Source organism: Homo sapiens, chromosome 22 (genome assembly GCF_000001405.40).
Source record: "Homo sapiens chromosome 22, GRCh38.p14 Primary Assembly".
NCBI classification, from domain to species: Eukaryota; Metazoa; Chordata; class Mammalia; order Primates; family Hominidae; genus Homo; species Homo sapiens.
Window position 1 is genome coordinate 27678704 of NC_000022.11, and position 14358 is coordinate 27693061.

Here is a 14358-nt window from a genome sequence, read left to right on the forward strand (position 1 = left end):
TTTCAACTTAATTTTTCTCTCATTCTACTTTGTTGTCAGGCAGGCTCTCCCGTCAGGGTGGCAAGATGCCCCCTCAAGCTTACACCCTGTTGTTTAGCAAACCCAGCAGAAGAGAAGGTCTCTCCAGTAGGCCCTGGACTGAATGAAGAAATGCTGAGCACTTAGCAGCAAGATACCAGGAGGTCAGAACCAATGCCCAGCTTCATGGACTAGGATATTTGTGAGATATTAGCCATTGCTTTCACCCTAGCTAAACTTTGCATCCTCACAAAAGAAAATTTGCTTCTCTATGAGTCTACCCCTCCAGCATATGAGGTGAGGTTCCCCCTGCTCTCTGTGGGGACTATCTCATCTCCAGACCCTCCCTCTGTCCCCCACCCAGGAGCTGCCCTCTCTGCTGAGATGCCAATACCCATCTTTGACTCATCACAGTCTTCCACGTTGTCTGTTATTTTCTAAATGTTGTACCCTGGATCCTTCAAAACTCATACTTTTAAGGCTCAAAAGCCAGACTCTAGTGACTTAAAATAAGCTTTTGAAATCCAAAAACCACATACTTGACTCTCTTATCCTCCTCTTGTTGTAACATCTATCCCTGAGGCAGAAAATACAGAACACCCTGTGGCTGCCTGAACGGAGGAAGGATGGGGGCGGGGAGACATCGGTCAATGTATCAAAGCATCTCTCTGCCTGAAAGACCTCTCCTGAAAGACATGAGCTATTAGGAGCTCTGGCAAGGGCTTTGTCTTATCCTCCTTGCTATCCCTGATGACTGGGCAAAACAGTAGCTGCCCTGATTCCATGAGACAGAAAGGGGTGACTTATTTAATCCCAGAGCCACGGAGTGGAGGCCCCGGGAGGCAATTTAAGGAAGGACTTTGAGCCAACAGAACCATGCAGAGATGCAAGGGGCTGCTTCACTAGGTGGTGAGCCCCCTGTCACTGGAGGCAGACAAGCAAAGACAGCTTGGCAGAGACACTTGAGTGAGGATTCAAGTAACAGATGGGTAGTCAGTCACCTGGAATCTGACCTCTAAGAGAATTGGGCAGTGTCTCTTTTTGCTACTCATTTGATCTTCTTCAATGCTTAGCACAATGCACAGGTCTCAAAACACTTAAAATACTCTTGGCTAACATCCAAACCCCTTTGTATAATCTCCATTGTCTTGCAAGTGTGATTCCCACCTCCCATTCCAAACCCATTTCCACTCACTCCTCCATTCTCTCCAGCCACCCTGTTCCCTCCTCAGGGCCTTGCTAATGCTGTTCCGCATGCCTGGAATCCTCTTCCTGCAGATCTAGGTACAGCCAGCTTCTTTTCAATCTTCAAATCTCACGGCAGATATTATATTCCCTTTGCAAGGAAAGCTTCCCTGATGACTTGATTTAAAAACTCCTTTCCCACCCCATCCCTCTCTCTGTCATGACCCTGCTTTCTTTTTCTTTGCTGCACTTACCACCACATGAAATGATCCTATTTGTTTATTCCATCTCTCCAACTACAATGGAAGCTCCCCACAGGGTAGGAACTTTTTCCACCCGTTCACTACTATCTCAGAGCTTAGCCCACTGCCTGGCACATAGTAGATGCTCAATAAGTACTTGCTCAATGAGCTGTATTCGCTGGGGTAACATTCGATGCTCTAACAGGTAAGCCCTAAGTTCTCAGTGGCTTAACACAATCATTTTGTTCTCTGCCTCTGAAGGCCACGGAGTGTTTCCCATCAGTGGGCATCCATCCCAGGGCCCAGGCTACTTCCATTTTGTGGCTCTTCCATCCTCTAGGATGTCAGAGTCTCCTCCTTCCAACTGCAGTTGGACAAAGAGAGAAAGTGGAGGATTGTGGGAGTGGGGGGTGGTTTATGGGCCAGGCCTACATGTGGCTTATGTCACGTCTGCCTCCATGGGCCAGAACTCAATCACACAGCCACAGCTAAGAGCAAAGGAGACTGGGAAATGAGGCCTCCTTGTGTGCCAAGAAGAAAGCGATTGTAGTGAAGAATCCGTCTCTGCCCCAGAGGGAATGGACGAATGAACAAATGGAATGATCTCTCACATACCTTCCAACTCAAGATCTCGTAAAATTCCAAGTCCTGCTGGTCCTGGAAATCCGATGCCAATTGCTGCCTGCCCTGTTTCATCTCCACTGTCGGAATAACTGAAGGCAAGGGCTCAGGGCTGGAAATGTGCAGCCCCAGGGACAGACAGAAAGAGCTGCCAGGGCCTGCTGGCCCCAGATAAAAGCAGCCCGAGAGATCTGGGCTTTCCTGAGAGACACCTGTGTGGAACAGTTCTCACTCCTGCAGAGCAAGGGGGAATTGAATCCATTTGCTCAGGATGACTTCATACTGGGTTCTACCTGGGATACAGCAGACTTGGGAAAATTGGGGGCAGCCCTGGGGTCCCTGAAGGGCCTCCAGTGGAATTTAGCTCCATAGGCATCCGGAAGCATGTATTAAGTCCCTTCCTTGTGCTACTTCTTTCTCCAGTGGTGGTTAGTACGTGGGAGTGCTAAGAGCAGTGCCTGGCACACAGTAAGCACTCAATACTCAATAAGTGTTTGCTAACATGAGCTTTTCCACCTTCACAGTGACTCCATGCATTCATTCATCCACCTAACATTTTTGCCCATCCCTGCCCTTCACTAGGTCCTGGAAACGCAGCAATGAACAAGAAAGACAGAGTGGGGAGTGATAAAAGACATCAACCTTGCCCTCACAGAGCTCCTGCTCTGGAGGAAGACCAACATTACCTAGGAATGGCTCTAACAGGAGAAAAACTGCACGTGGTGTGTGCTGCTTTAGAAGAAGGTGCTGGAGCTCTAGGGAGAGCACCTGGGGGCTTGACCTGGCCTGCGTAGGGGAAGGGTCAGAAAGACACTCTTTGTCTTGCCCTTCCTGATCCTTCACACACATACCTTGGATCTAATCTGGGGTGCCCCTCCAGCAGATACGTTCTCCTGGACAAACATTTCTCCCTGGTATGTGCCCAGAACCAGCCTGAAGCTGGGGATCTCAGCCCACGCCAGTACCCATGGCCTGGTCCTTTCCTGCTGTGTGGCCGTAGCTAGGCTGGAATGGGGGAGGACTCAACCCTGGGAGATGCAGGGGCTGCAGGTTGTGGGGTAGAAAGTGAGGGTGGGGCTCCATGCTTCCTGAATCTTGATCCAAGATGAAGATATCCAGTCCAGGGCCCTGGTGAGGAAGTGTCCAGTGGTCTCTGATTTGTGTCTCCCTGAACACACCGAAAGCTAAGTCTTTTCCTTGGTGCTGTCCTGTGCACATCCCATGGGGTTAGCTCAGCTGGTGGGGACCCCAGCTCCTCCCAAGGGGCCCACATCCCTAAACCAGGCTCCCTCGAGCCTCTCTCTACATTTGCTGATGCTCTGCAGAACGTTCTGTGCAATTGTTTGAATATTATCTTGTCCTTGGTTTCATACAAGTGTTACCAAAATGAATGAAGACCCGACACCCGGAAGCGTTTATCCCCAGAGGAAGAAGGACTGGTCTCATAAACCTGGTATGTTGGAGACCAAGAAGGAAACTGCCCAGAACAGGCCAGAAGTGGCAAATCTTTCACCTTAATCAGCTGCTTATTGGATGAAAAGTCACCCCGATAAATGTTCAACTGGGAAGGAAAAGAGCTAACGAAATGGACATGTGCCAAATTCTGGAAATAGACCATCAACGACCGTGCCTAAACAGTTTACTCGGAGACTTGATCATCTAGTTTAGCCCTCCAGGGATTAAATGCTCACCTCTTTATAACACAGGGGACCAATGCTCGATTTCCACACATTTGAATTTCATAGCATGCATGCAAATCTGTAATGCATGAAACTGGGTGAGGCGGAGGAGTTGCAGTGTCCTCGGCACAGCGCCTCCTTGGGGCTTGCACTGGAGCTGCCTGGAGCCCGGGGATCCCACAGGTTAATGAGTGGGACCAGGACCCGGCCACCAGCCCCTGGAAAATCTTCCCCAGGGAGAAGGCCACCAGATCACAAGACCCCAAGTCCACCCCCAGGAACGAAGGTCAGCCTGCCGCTCCCTCCAGTCTGCATCCAGCCCCAGGAGCAGGTGACGGGGGCATCTGACCCTCCAGAAGCCCCCTAGAAATGGGGGGAGGGGACATTAGATGGAGTGCAGCACAGCCCATTGCGTCCTCCTCGGGAGGCCAAGGGCACCCAGGACGTGGAAATTAAAAAGGAGGAGGGGAGGCCCAGCATATTAACCTCCTTAATCTTTCATTTCTGACACAGATTGTGGTCCCTCATTTCAAAGAATTTCAAGCTAATGTCTGGAGGGCAGAAAAATCTATTTCCCAATACGCGCTGCAACTTTTTCGCCAATCGACTGCCCTTCCTGGTACAATCAGCCGAGCATTGATTTTTTTTTCTTTCTCTCTCTTTTTTTAATGCTAAAGCATCATCCAAAAATATATCAATAGGAACAACATCTTTGAAGAAAATACCAGGAGGCCCAGGCTGCTTCTTCATTAACCCCAAAGCTGCCGGCCTGAGATGGGGCCCAGGAAGGGGCTGCTACTGGGAGACCCAACCTGAGGGACACACTTGTGACACTTCCTGGAATGCTGGGCTCTCTCAAGATGTGTGGATGTCAGCATCTTTTGTCCTTATGTTAGAATCCTTTAGAACTGGGGCCAGTGAGGTTATTTCATTGTAAATGAATTAACATTCGATAAGATTTAAAATTCAGTGCTTTGGCCAGGTGCAGTGGCTTATGCCGGTAATCCCAGCACTTTGGGAGGCCAAGGTGGGAGCAGGGCTTGAGCTCAATAGTTCGAGACCAGCCTGGGCAACACATTGAGACCCCATCTCTACAAAAAGAAAAAAAAATTTTTTTTTTTGAGACGGAGTTTTGCTCTTGTTGCCCAGGCTGGAATGCAATGGCGCAATCTTGGCTCACTGAAACCCCTGCCTCCCAGGTTCAGACGATTCTCCTGCCTCAGCCTCCCAGGTAGCTGGGATTACAGGCATGTGCCACCACACCTGGCTAATTTTGTATTTTTAGTAGAGATGAGGTTTCTCCATGTTGGTCAGGCTGATCTCGAACTCCTGACCTCAGGTGATCCACCCGCTTTGGCCTCCCAAAGTGCTGGGATTACAGCCGTGAGCCACCATGCCCAGCCAAATTTTTTTTTTAATTAAAAAGATTTTTAAAAATTAGCCAGGCATGCTGATTTGTGCCTATAGTCTCAGCTCCTCAGGAGGCAGAGGTGGGAGGATCGCCTGAGCCCAGGAGATTGAGGCTGCAGTGAGCCATGATTGTACCACTGCACTCTAGCCTGGATGACAGAGCAAGACCCTGTCTCAAAAATAAAAAGAATAAAAATAATAAAATAGGCCGGGCACAGTGGCTCACGCCTGTAATCTTAGTACTTTGGGAGGCTGAGGCGGGTGGATCACCTGAAGTCAGGAGTTCGAGACCAGCTTGGCCAACATCGTGAAACCCCACCTCTACTAAAAATACAAAATTAGCCGGGCGTGATGGTGCATGCCTGTAATCCCAGCTACTCCAAAGGCTGAAGCAGGAGAATCACTTAGAACCTGGGAGGTGGAGGTTGCAGTGAGCTGAGATTGCGCCGCTGCACTCCAGCCTGGGTGACAGAGTGAGACTCTGTCTCAAAAAATAATACTAATAAATAAAATTCCTCAGTCAAATGAGCCAAGTTTCAAATACTCCATGGCCGTGTGTGGCTCATGGCTCCCTCATTGGACACCGCAGGCCCAGAACAGCTCCACTGTCATAGAAAGTTCTAGAGAATAGGGCTGCCTCAGAACAGGGCTCAGCACACTTTTTCTGTAGAGCCAGTGTTCTGAAAATGCTTCATATCTTGATTTCAGTGATGGTTTCATGGGTGTAACATGTAATATTTGTGCTGTATATAAATTGTGTATATATATATTACTGTATATAAATTATGTCTCCATGAAAAGAAAAAATATCTTTAGAAATCTTAGATTGTCTTAGGGAGATACAATGCCTGGAAAGTTCGAATCCTGCAGGATCCCTGAGCGCATCCTTACCCCATGGGACCCTAATGGGGTTTCAGAGGCCTCCAAAGAGGGAGGATGCTGGGCAGGGGGCTCTCATTCATAAACCCCTTCCCCAGATTGGTATCCTTTATAAGAGTTCTAGGGGCCGAGAAAGAGTTTAGCAACAACAGCAATGGAAAGGTCAACTCTGTCTGTTTCCTGCTTTTAGGAATGTGAAAATTCTTGAGAAAAGTAGGAGGCAGAACCCGTGGGAAGAGGGTACACGACGGGGATGGGGTATGTGGGAATGAATGAGTGTGGCGGTCTCGCAACCCTAATTCCCACTTCAGTCAGGGAGGCTCCCATGGCCTGTATTTTGCACGTAGGGTTTCTGAGCAATAAGAATTCACTCATGGAAAGCTTCGGCTCCGTTTCAAAAGTGTACACACCACTGCCTTTTAGTCTTGGCTTTTAGCCCAAAACAAGCAGTACAGTGGACAGTTAAAGGCATCACGCTGTGGAGCCAGAAGGCCAGGTTCAAATCCCAGCCCCAGCTGTGTGAATTTGGGGAAATCTCTTCATTTCTCTGTGCCTCAGTTTTCTCCTCTGTAAAAATGGGGATAATGATAGGACCCAACTCGTGGGTTGTTATAAGAATAAGAAGCATTAACTCTTAGGAAGCACGCTGAACCAGATTGAGCATCTCCTGTTTGTTTGGGGTCTGTCTAGGATGATACCTTCATTCATTCCTTCAACAAGCTTGCGTGATGGAGACGCCAGGCCTTGGGAAAGAAGGCAGCCAGGCCAAGTCATGACAAACATCCCTCTTTCCCTACCCCAGGTCACACCTGTCTCTCACCTTCCGGCAACCCCACCTTCAAGTCCTTCCTGCTCCACCAGGCAGGTCCCTGGAGCTCGGCCTGACAAAGGCTGTTGGCTTATCAGGACACCCAGGCCACAATCCAGAACTGGCTCTGACCCAGGAGCCACCAGTGTCTGATGTCCCCATGTCAAAAAGAGAGGCCACACTGTCCCAGACCTGGACTGGCTGTCCTCAGTGCCCTGTTGCACAGAGCCCAGACTCCCTCTCCAAGAGGCGGGATCCTACTCCTTGACCCCCTACATCTGGCGGAGATCCCGCTCTGGGGCATACAGGCAACCTGAGGCTCTGTCCCCATAGATGTTCACCTGTTCATCCAACCTGGTGGCTTCTTGCCCCGGGAAGCCCTCACCTTCAGTTAGTCACTCACTTAACGACTATTTTTAGGACAACTACTTTGTGCTAAGCTGAGTCCCCGAGGCTGGAGACATAAGGAACAAGAGAGACACAGTCTGCCCTCATGTAGTTCACATCTAGTTGAAGAAACAAGCAATAAACAGGTAGAGATCATTTCACCTGGAGATCAGTTCAAAGAAGAAAATAACTCAACAGACTGGAAGCAGGTGTGGTCAGGGAAGACTTCCTGGAGGAGGTGACAATTACACAGAAACCTGATAGATAAGAAGGAGCTGGACACAGGAGGATATGGGTGAAGGGCATTTCAGGCAAAGGCAAAGGCAAAGCCATGTGCAAAGGCCAGGAGGTGGGAAAAAATTAGAGAAAGAGGAAAAAGGAGCAGAGTAAGCTAGGAAGCCAGTGGTCAGAGGTGAGAATGGCCAGTGCCCACCAAGCCTCAGCACACCTCTGTCCTGCTGGCTCAGTTGAAACCTTCCCTTGATCTAGAAATATACAGCTACCACTGATCACTGACAGAGCCTGGTGGCTACCGGAGCTGCAGAGGTCTATGCTCAAATCCAGCCTCAACCTCCTCCCAGCTGAGTAACCTCAGGCCAGGGCATGACCCTCCTGGGCCTCAGTTTTCTCCTTGGAGAATGGGGGCCTAGTGGGGTTGCTGCAAGTGTCAGGGAATGCATGTAATGGACTTAACTCAGTGCCTGGCACGCAGTGAACGATAGGCCGACGTTGGCCAAGCCAGAAAATCCGTCTGCCCTGACGTCAGGCAGGGCCTAATTATAGACGCCCAGAGGTCACTTTCAGCCTCTTGTGACTCAGAGGCAGTGCCAGGCAGCAGACAGTGGGAGGGACAAAGAATCAGGCCGGCTCGACCAATGCAGAGCCACAGGGGAGTGCCTCCGTTTCCCTGTCTATTAACCAGAGATATCAGTGGGACCTGCCTCCCAGGGCTATGAGAAGACTCCAAGTTGGGCCTAGTACTTCATAGGAGCTCTGTCAACCTCCACAGTCCACAACTGCACGCACAAATGGAAAAATCGTTGTAATTTAGATAAATTTTCCCTTGAGGCTTTCTTTCTTTTATTCAACAAATATATGCTGAGCCCTTTGGTGCATCTGGCTCTGTGTTAAATACAGTGTGTACAAAAAATGCCCGCGACAGCCACTGAGGGTTTACAGAGCCAATGAAGAGAGTCAGCAAGGTTACAGGGGCATATTTAATGTGCTCAAAGAACAAACTAGAGGTTCCAGAAAGAACCATTCTTCTTTGTTCTTCCACTGGTTTGCTTATTCAGCCTCACAGCAGCCAGGCCTTGTCCCACAGGCCTTGGTGTCTGAAAATTTGCTGGGGCAAGTGGAGAATCCTTTACCCCGTCCCTGCATGTGGGACCCTCTGGTGTGACCCTGGCCTCCAAGAGGACCGTGTTCACCTTGAGATCTGAGTTCAAGGCCTGGGTCTGCTCCTGCCTTGCTGTGAGAACTTAGGCAAGGCATGGAGCCATGCTGTGCCTCAGTTTCCTCACCTGTGCATGACATGAGTGATGGTAATAATGAAAATGCCCTGTTGGGGCTATTTAGGGGTTAGATGTGATCACAGGGACGGAGTGCTCTGTGTCCAGTGCTCCAACGGGAATCATTGCTCTGTGTCCGGCACTCCAACGGGAATCATTGCTCTGTGTCCAGTGCTCCAACGGGAATCATTGTCGTTACCCTCTGTCTAGGGCAGGGCCGTCCCATTTTTTGGCTCCCTGGGCCACATTAAAAGAAAAAAATTGTCTCGAGCCACACATAAAATACACTAACACTAATGATGGCTGATGAGCTAAAAAAAAAAATTTGCAAAAAAAAACTCATAATATTTTAAGAAAGTTTACAAATTTGTGTTGGGCCTCATTCAAAGCCATCCTGGGCTGCACGCGACCTGCAGGCACCAGGTTGGACTAACTTGGTCTAGGGAATGATGCAGCCTCCAGCACCAACATCGCCCCTGGCTCAAGGAAAGGAGACATACCCTGTACACACCCCCAGCTCCAACCCACTCTTGGGTCACTACCCAACTCTTGAGTCATTTCCAGGTCACCCCTTGGAAATGAGGGTGCTGGACTAAGTAGAGGTGACCACCACGGATTCTTGCTTTCCTTCCAGAGTTTTTCTTGGGCAGCAGTTGATCATGCATGGACTACATTTCCCAGGTTCCTTTGCATCTAGGTAGGGCCATGTGACTAACTCTGACCAAAAGACTGTGAGAAAAAGTGATGTGCATCACTTCAGGGCTGAAATGATTAACAAGCAGGTATGTCTCCTCGGTCTCTCTTTCCCCACCTGCCTGCTGAATGGAACAGAGTTCAAAGTAAGTGTTGAAAATGGTAGAGCCACAAGATAGAAGGAGCCTGAGTGCCTGAGTCACCGCATGGAGGCAGATTGCCCAACCAGAAATGCCAGCAGTGGGTTGTAACATTAGTGAGAAATAAACTTATACTGTGTTAAACCACTGAAGTGACAATTGCATCTGTTACAGCAGCTGGCATTGCCTTCCTTAACTATCACATATACATTATACCTTTTTTTCAGTTGTATATGCATTATCTCATTTAACACTCAGCAAATTTCTAACACCAATGTGAGGTACTGATCTTTTGAGCATTTAATTTGGGCCAAGCACTGGGCTAAGTCTTTTGCATACATTTTCTTGTCTTAACCACAATTCTATAAGGTGGGCTTATAGGATTATTATTATAGCCACATTACAGATGAGAAAACTAACACTCAAAAACATTTGGAATCCTGCCCAGGGTCCTCAGCTAATGAGTAGAAGTGGCTGGACCAGAACCCAGAGTTTACTGTTTTTTTTTTTTTTTTTGAGACAGAATCTCACTCTGTCACCCAGGCTGGAGTGCAGTGGTGTGATCTTGGCTCACTGCAACCTCTACCTCCCGAGTTCAAGTGATTCTCCTGCCTCAGCCTCCCGAATAGCTGGGACTATGGGTGTGCGCCACCATGCCTGGCTAATTTTTATATTTTTAGTTGAGATGGGGTTTCACCATGTTGGCCAGGCTGATCTCAAACTCCTGGCCTCAAGTGATCCACCTGCCTTGTCCTCCCAAACAGAGTTCACATTCTTAATGACTGCACCCATGGCCTCCCAGAACCTGATAGGTTAGATATTTCAAGCCTTGATCTATAAGTGATGACAATGAAGCTCAGAGAAGGTCCATAACTTGGCCATGCTCCTGGAACTAGTAAGTGGCAGTGATTGGCTTAGAACCCAGATTTGTCTGGGTCCCATCTAGTGCTCTTGACCTACCCACATTGCTGCCTTGGTTGCCCTTTCCAATGGGCACTAAAGCTCTGACCCTGTTCCCATTCCCCAGTGTTACAGCGCCATGGCTGAAGGCAAATTTGGCATCCATAGAGTCTGTTATAATGCTAAATAAATTTTTCTCTTGGCAGTCTTGACACTTATTAAGCACCTGGGAGGCTATTAGTGCCTTGTGCTGTCCAAAACACTCTTAATTACTGTCTAATCAAGGTATCTTTCACTCTAGGAAAAAAAAAAAAAAAAAACAGAAAATGGGGGGAGATGTTCATGCACACCACTTTTGAATCCTTTGCTGTGCATTTCCCTCCAGCCACCACATCCCCTGGGTGTCATTCAGGAAAGGGACTAAAGAAATGAAGATGGAGGGAAATGGTCTCTAAACAAGGCTTCATTTTCATCCAGCAATCTCACTCCGTGGACTTGATCTGGAGGCAAAATGGAATGAGTGAATGATGAAGATGGACTTACCAGGATGCTGATCACAGTGGTGTTGGTCTCACAGAAAAATTGCAAACATCTGAAATGCCTGCCAACAGGACTCTGGTTAAATGAACTGTGGTGCATCCATGCAAAGGAGTACTATGCAGCCATTAAAAAGAAGAACATGGAACCATTTGGGCTGATGCAGGCCAATCTACAGAAAAAGGGTGGTGCAGAACAGTGAGCCTCCTGTGAACCCATTTGTGTAAAAACATAAGGACATAGTTTTATTACAATTGTCAACATTTATTGAGGGATTAATACACACTATTTTAGGTAGTCAAATTCATTGCCTTATTTAGCCCTTGTAAGACTCCTATGAGGTAGAAAATATTGTCATTCCCAATTTATAGATGAGGAAACTGAGGCTCAGAAAAATTTAGTAATGAGTGCCCAGGGTCACTTCTTTAGTGAGTGGTAAGCCTGGGATTCAAACTCAGGAAGTCTGAAAGCCACCACTAACCATTAAATGACACTGCTTCCCCAACACACAAGGAGAATGATTGACAGGAGAGTTCCATTTCTTTGAAATGGGGGAGATTTGGAGGTGCAAGGCATATAAGAGACTTCTGGGAATTGAGGGGATAGAGTTTTAACAGCCATATGGGGACAGGAGGCAAAGCCTGGAGCCCTCCAAAGGTGGAGTGCTGGAACTGAGACTGCTACCTAAAATCAGGGTCCCCAAAAGGCAATATTCTCAAATAAATAATGAAGTAAGGGAAAAATTGTATGGCAGCAAAGGACAGCAACAAGGAATTTTGTCTGTCTTGGCTTGGGCTCAGGAAAAAAACAAACTCCCCTAAGACTGTATAACTATGGACCTGTGATCATGGGAATTTGGTGTTTAAATTTGAACTACATGCACAGATGGGAACGCCCAAACTGAGAAAAACGTAAAAGCCAGACCAGGGGTGATGATATTATGGCAAGCAAGGCAGAAACAAATGCTCCACCAGACACCCTCAACCATGACATTCAAGATTCCCACAGATAATGCCATAAGATAAGCTTGCAATCCCAAATTATAAAACCCATGAGAAAGCAAACACCATGAAAATGCCTGTAAGGTCACATGAGGAACTGTTAGCAGTGGTTGTCTTTGGAAAGTGGTAATGCAGGAATGAAGTAAAGCAAGTCTGGCTTTTTACTTAATACACATCTAAGGCAGTTTGAAGTTTCTTAGAGTAATGAGATTATAATGCTTTCTTCTTTCAGTTTTAAAATCAGAGAATCACTTATCGGCCTTTTGGCTAAGAACAAGTGTAAAATAAAAAATATTTGAACTGAAAAGAAAGAATGGAAGGAAGGAGGGAGAGAGGAAAGGAGAAAAATTGGCTACAAGCCTCAGCCCCTACCTCCAAGATCACCCTCCTACCTCACCGTACACCAACTACGGGCTGTGGCCAATGAGTCTGGTGATGCTTCACAGGAAAGAGCTGGGGTCCTTCCCATTTGCCAAGCATGCATTCATGTATAGTAATCTGCCACTTTGTCTAAAATCCATGATTGAGGTTGGTGCCACTCAATTTCCTCCGACAGAAGGAAGTTCCAATTTTAATTCCTCTTTGGGCACCAATCTATCGACAATCTCATTGCTTCTACCTCTTCAGTATTCTTCAAGTCTCATTACATTTGTCCATCCCCAGCCCCCTCTTCTGTCCCGAACACATCTCATGCCAGGCTCAGGACATGGTCATCCTGCCTCTCATGCTCACCCCACTAACCCATCCTCCAGGCAGCAGCCAGAGTGAGAGCCCCAAAATACAAATCAGATTACTGCCCTGCTTGGAATGCTGTGACAGGTTCCCTTTCACTCAGAATAAACTCTGAGACTGGCCAGGCATGGTGGCTCACGCCTGTAATCCCAGCACTTTGGGAGGCCAAGGTAGTTGGATCCCCTGAGGTCAGGAGTTCAAGGCAAGCCTGGCCAACGTCGTGAAACCCCATCTCTACTAAAAATACAAAAATTAGCTGGGCATGGTCTCCTTGAACCCAGGAGGCAGAGGTTGCAGTGAGCCAAGATCACACCACTGCACTCTGGCCTGGGTGACAGAGCGAGACTCCATCTCAAAATAGTAAAAACTCTGAGATCCTTCCACAGCCAACAAGTGCTGGGGGATGCAGTCTCACTGATGGGTCTCAGGTCATCACCCTCCACTTCCCTGCCCTCTGTGCCCATGCCCTCACTCTGCTCCATTTACACTGGCCTCTCATCAGGCCTCACATACACCAGCTCAGGCCACCAAGTCTGCACGGAGAAGACACATCCTCTGTCTGGTCACTTTTCTTGCACAGAGAAACTCTTTTTCGTCTTTCACATTTAATAGTGATGTCCTTGCCCTTGGACAGGCTCTCTGCACCCACCTAAAGCAGATGCTGAAGATCTCTGTGGTAGACAGAATAATGGCCTCCCAGAGACATCCATATCCTAATCCTCAGAACCTGTGAATATGTTACTTTACCTGGCAATAGGAACTTTGCAAATGTGATTAAATTAATGACCTTCAGATTGGGGGTGGGAGGGCAGCGGTTATCCTGGATTATCTTGGTGGGCCAATGTCATCACAAGAGTCCTTGTAAGAGGAAGGCAGGAGGATTAGAGTCAGAGAAGGTGATGTAATGACAGAAACAGAGAGACTGGAAGATGCTACAATGCTGATTTTTAACATGGAGGAAAGTGTCACAAGCTAGGAATGTGAGTGGCCTGTAAAAGCTAGAAAAGGCAAGGAAATGGATTTTCCTCCCCCTAGAGCCTCTGGATGGAACACAGCCCTGCTAACACCTCGATTTTAGCACTTCTGACCTCCAGAATTGTAAGATGGTAAATGTATGTTGTTTAAAGACACTAAATCGGTGAAAATTTCTTGCAACAGCCACAGGAAACTAATACAGTACCCGACCTGTGTTCCTCATACCTGACCATCTCTGTATTATCCAGGAAGTCCAAACACCAGCTCCAGGATTGCATTTCTGTTTTCGTGTTTTGTTTTGTTTTTTGTTTTTTGAGACGGAGACTTGCTCTGTCGCCCAGGCTGGAGTGCAGTTGCATGATCTCAGCTCACTGCAACCTCTGCCTCCTGGGTTCAAGTGATTCTCCTGCCTCAGCCTCCTAAGTAGCTGGGATTACAGGCATGTACCACCACACCCGGCTAATTTTTGTATTTTTAGTAGAGATGGGGTTTTGCCGTGTTGGCCAGGCTGGTCTCAAACTCCTGACCTCAGGCGATCCTCCTGCCTCGGCCTCCCAAAGTGCTGGGATTACAGGCGTGAGCCACCGTGCCCGGCCAGGATTGCGTTTCTGGAACTGCAAAAGGCACACTGGAAGTGCTA

General features: G+C 47.9%; 1 long non-coding RNA gene across 1 annotated transcript in view; it reads right to left on the reverse strand.

The window, feature by feature from the left end:
• Positions 1 to 14358, reverse strand: part of CPMER (cytoplasmic mesoderm regulator) — a 39211-nt gene that overhangs the window by 2944 nt on the left and 21909 nt on the right. Inside the window, exon 4 of the long non-coding RNA NR_186699.1 lies at positions 11017 to 11182. This is a non-coding gene — a long non-coding RNA (cytoplasmic mesoderm regulator). The remainder of the gene's footprint in view (positions 1 to 11016; positions 11183 to 14358) is intronic.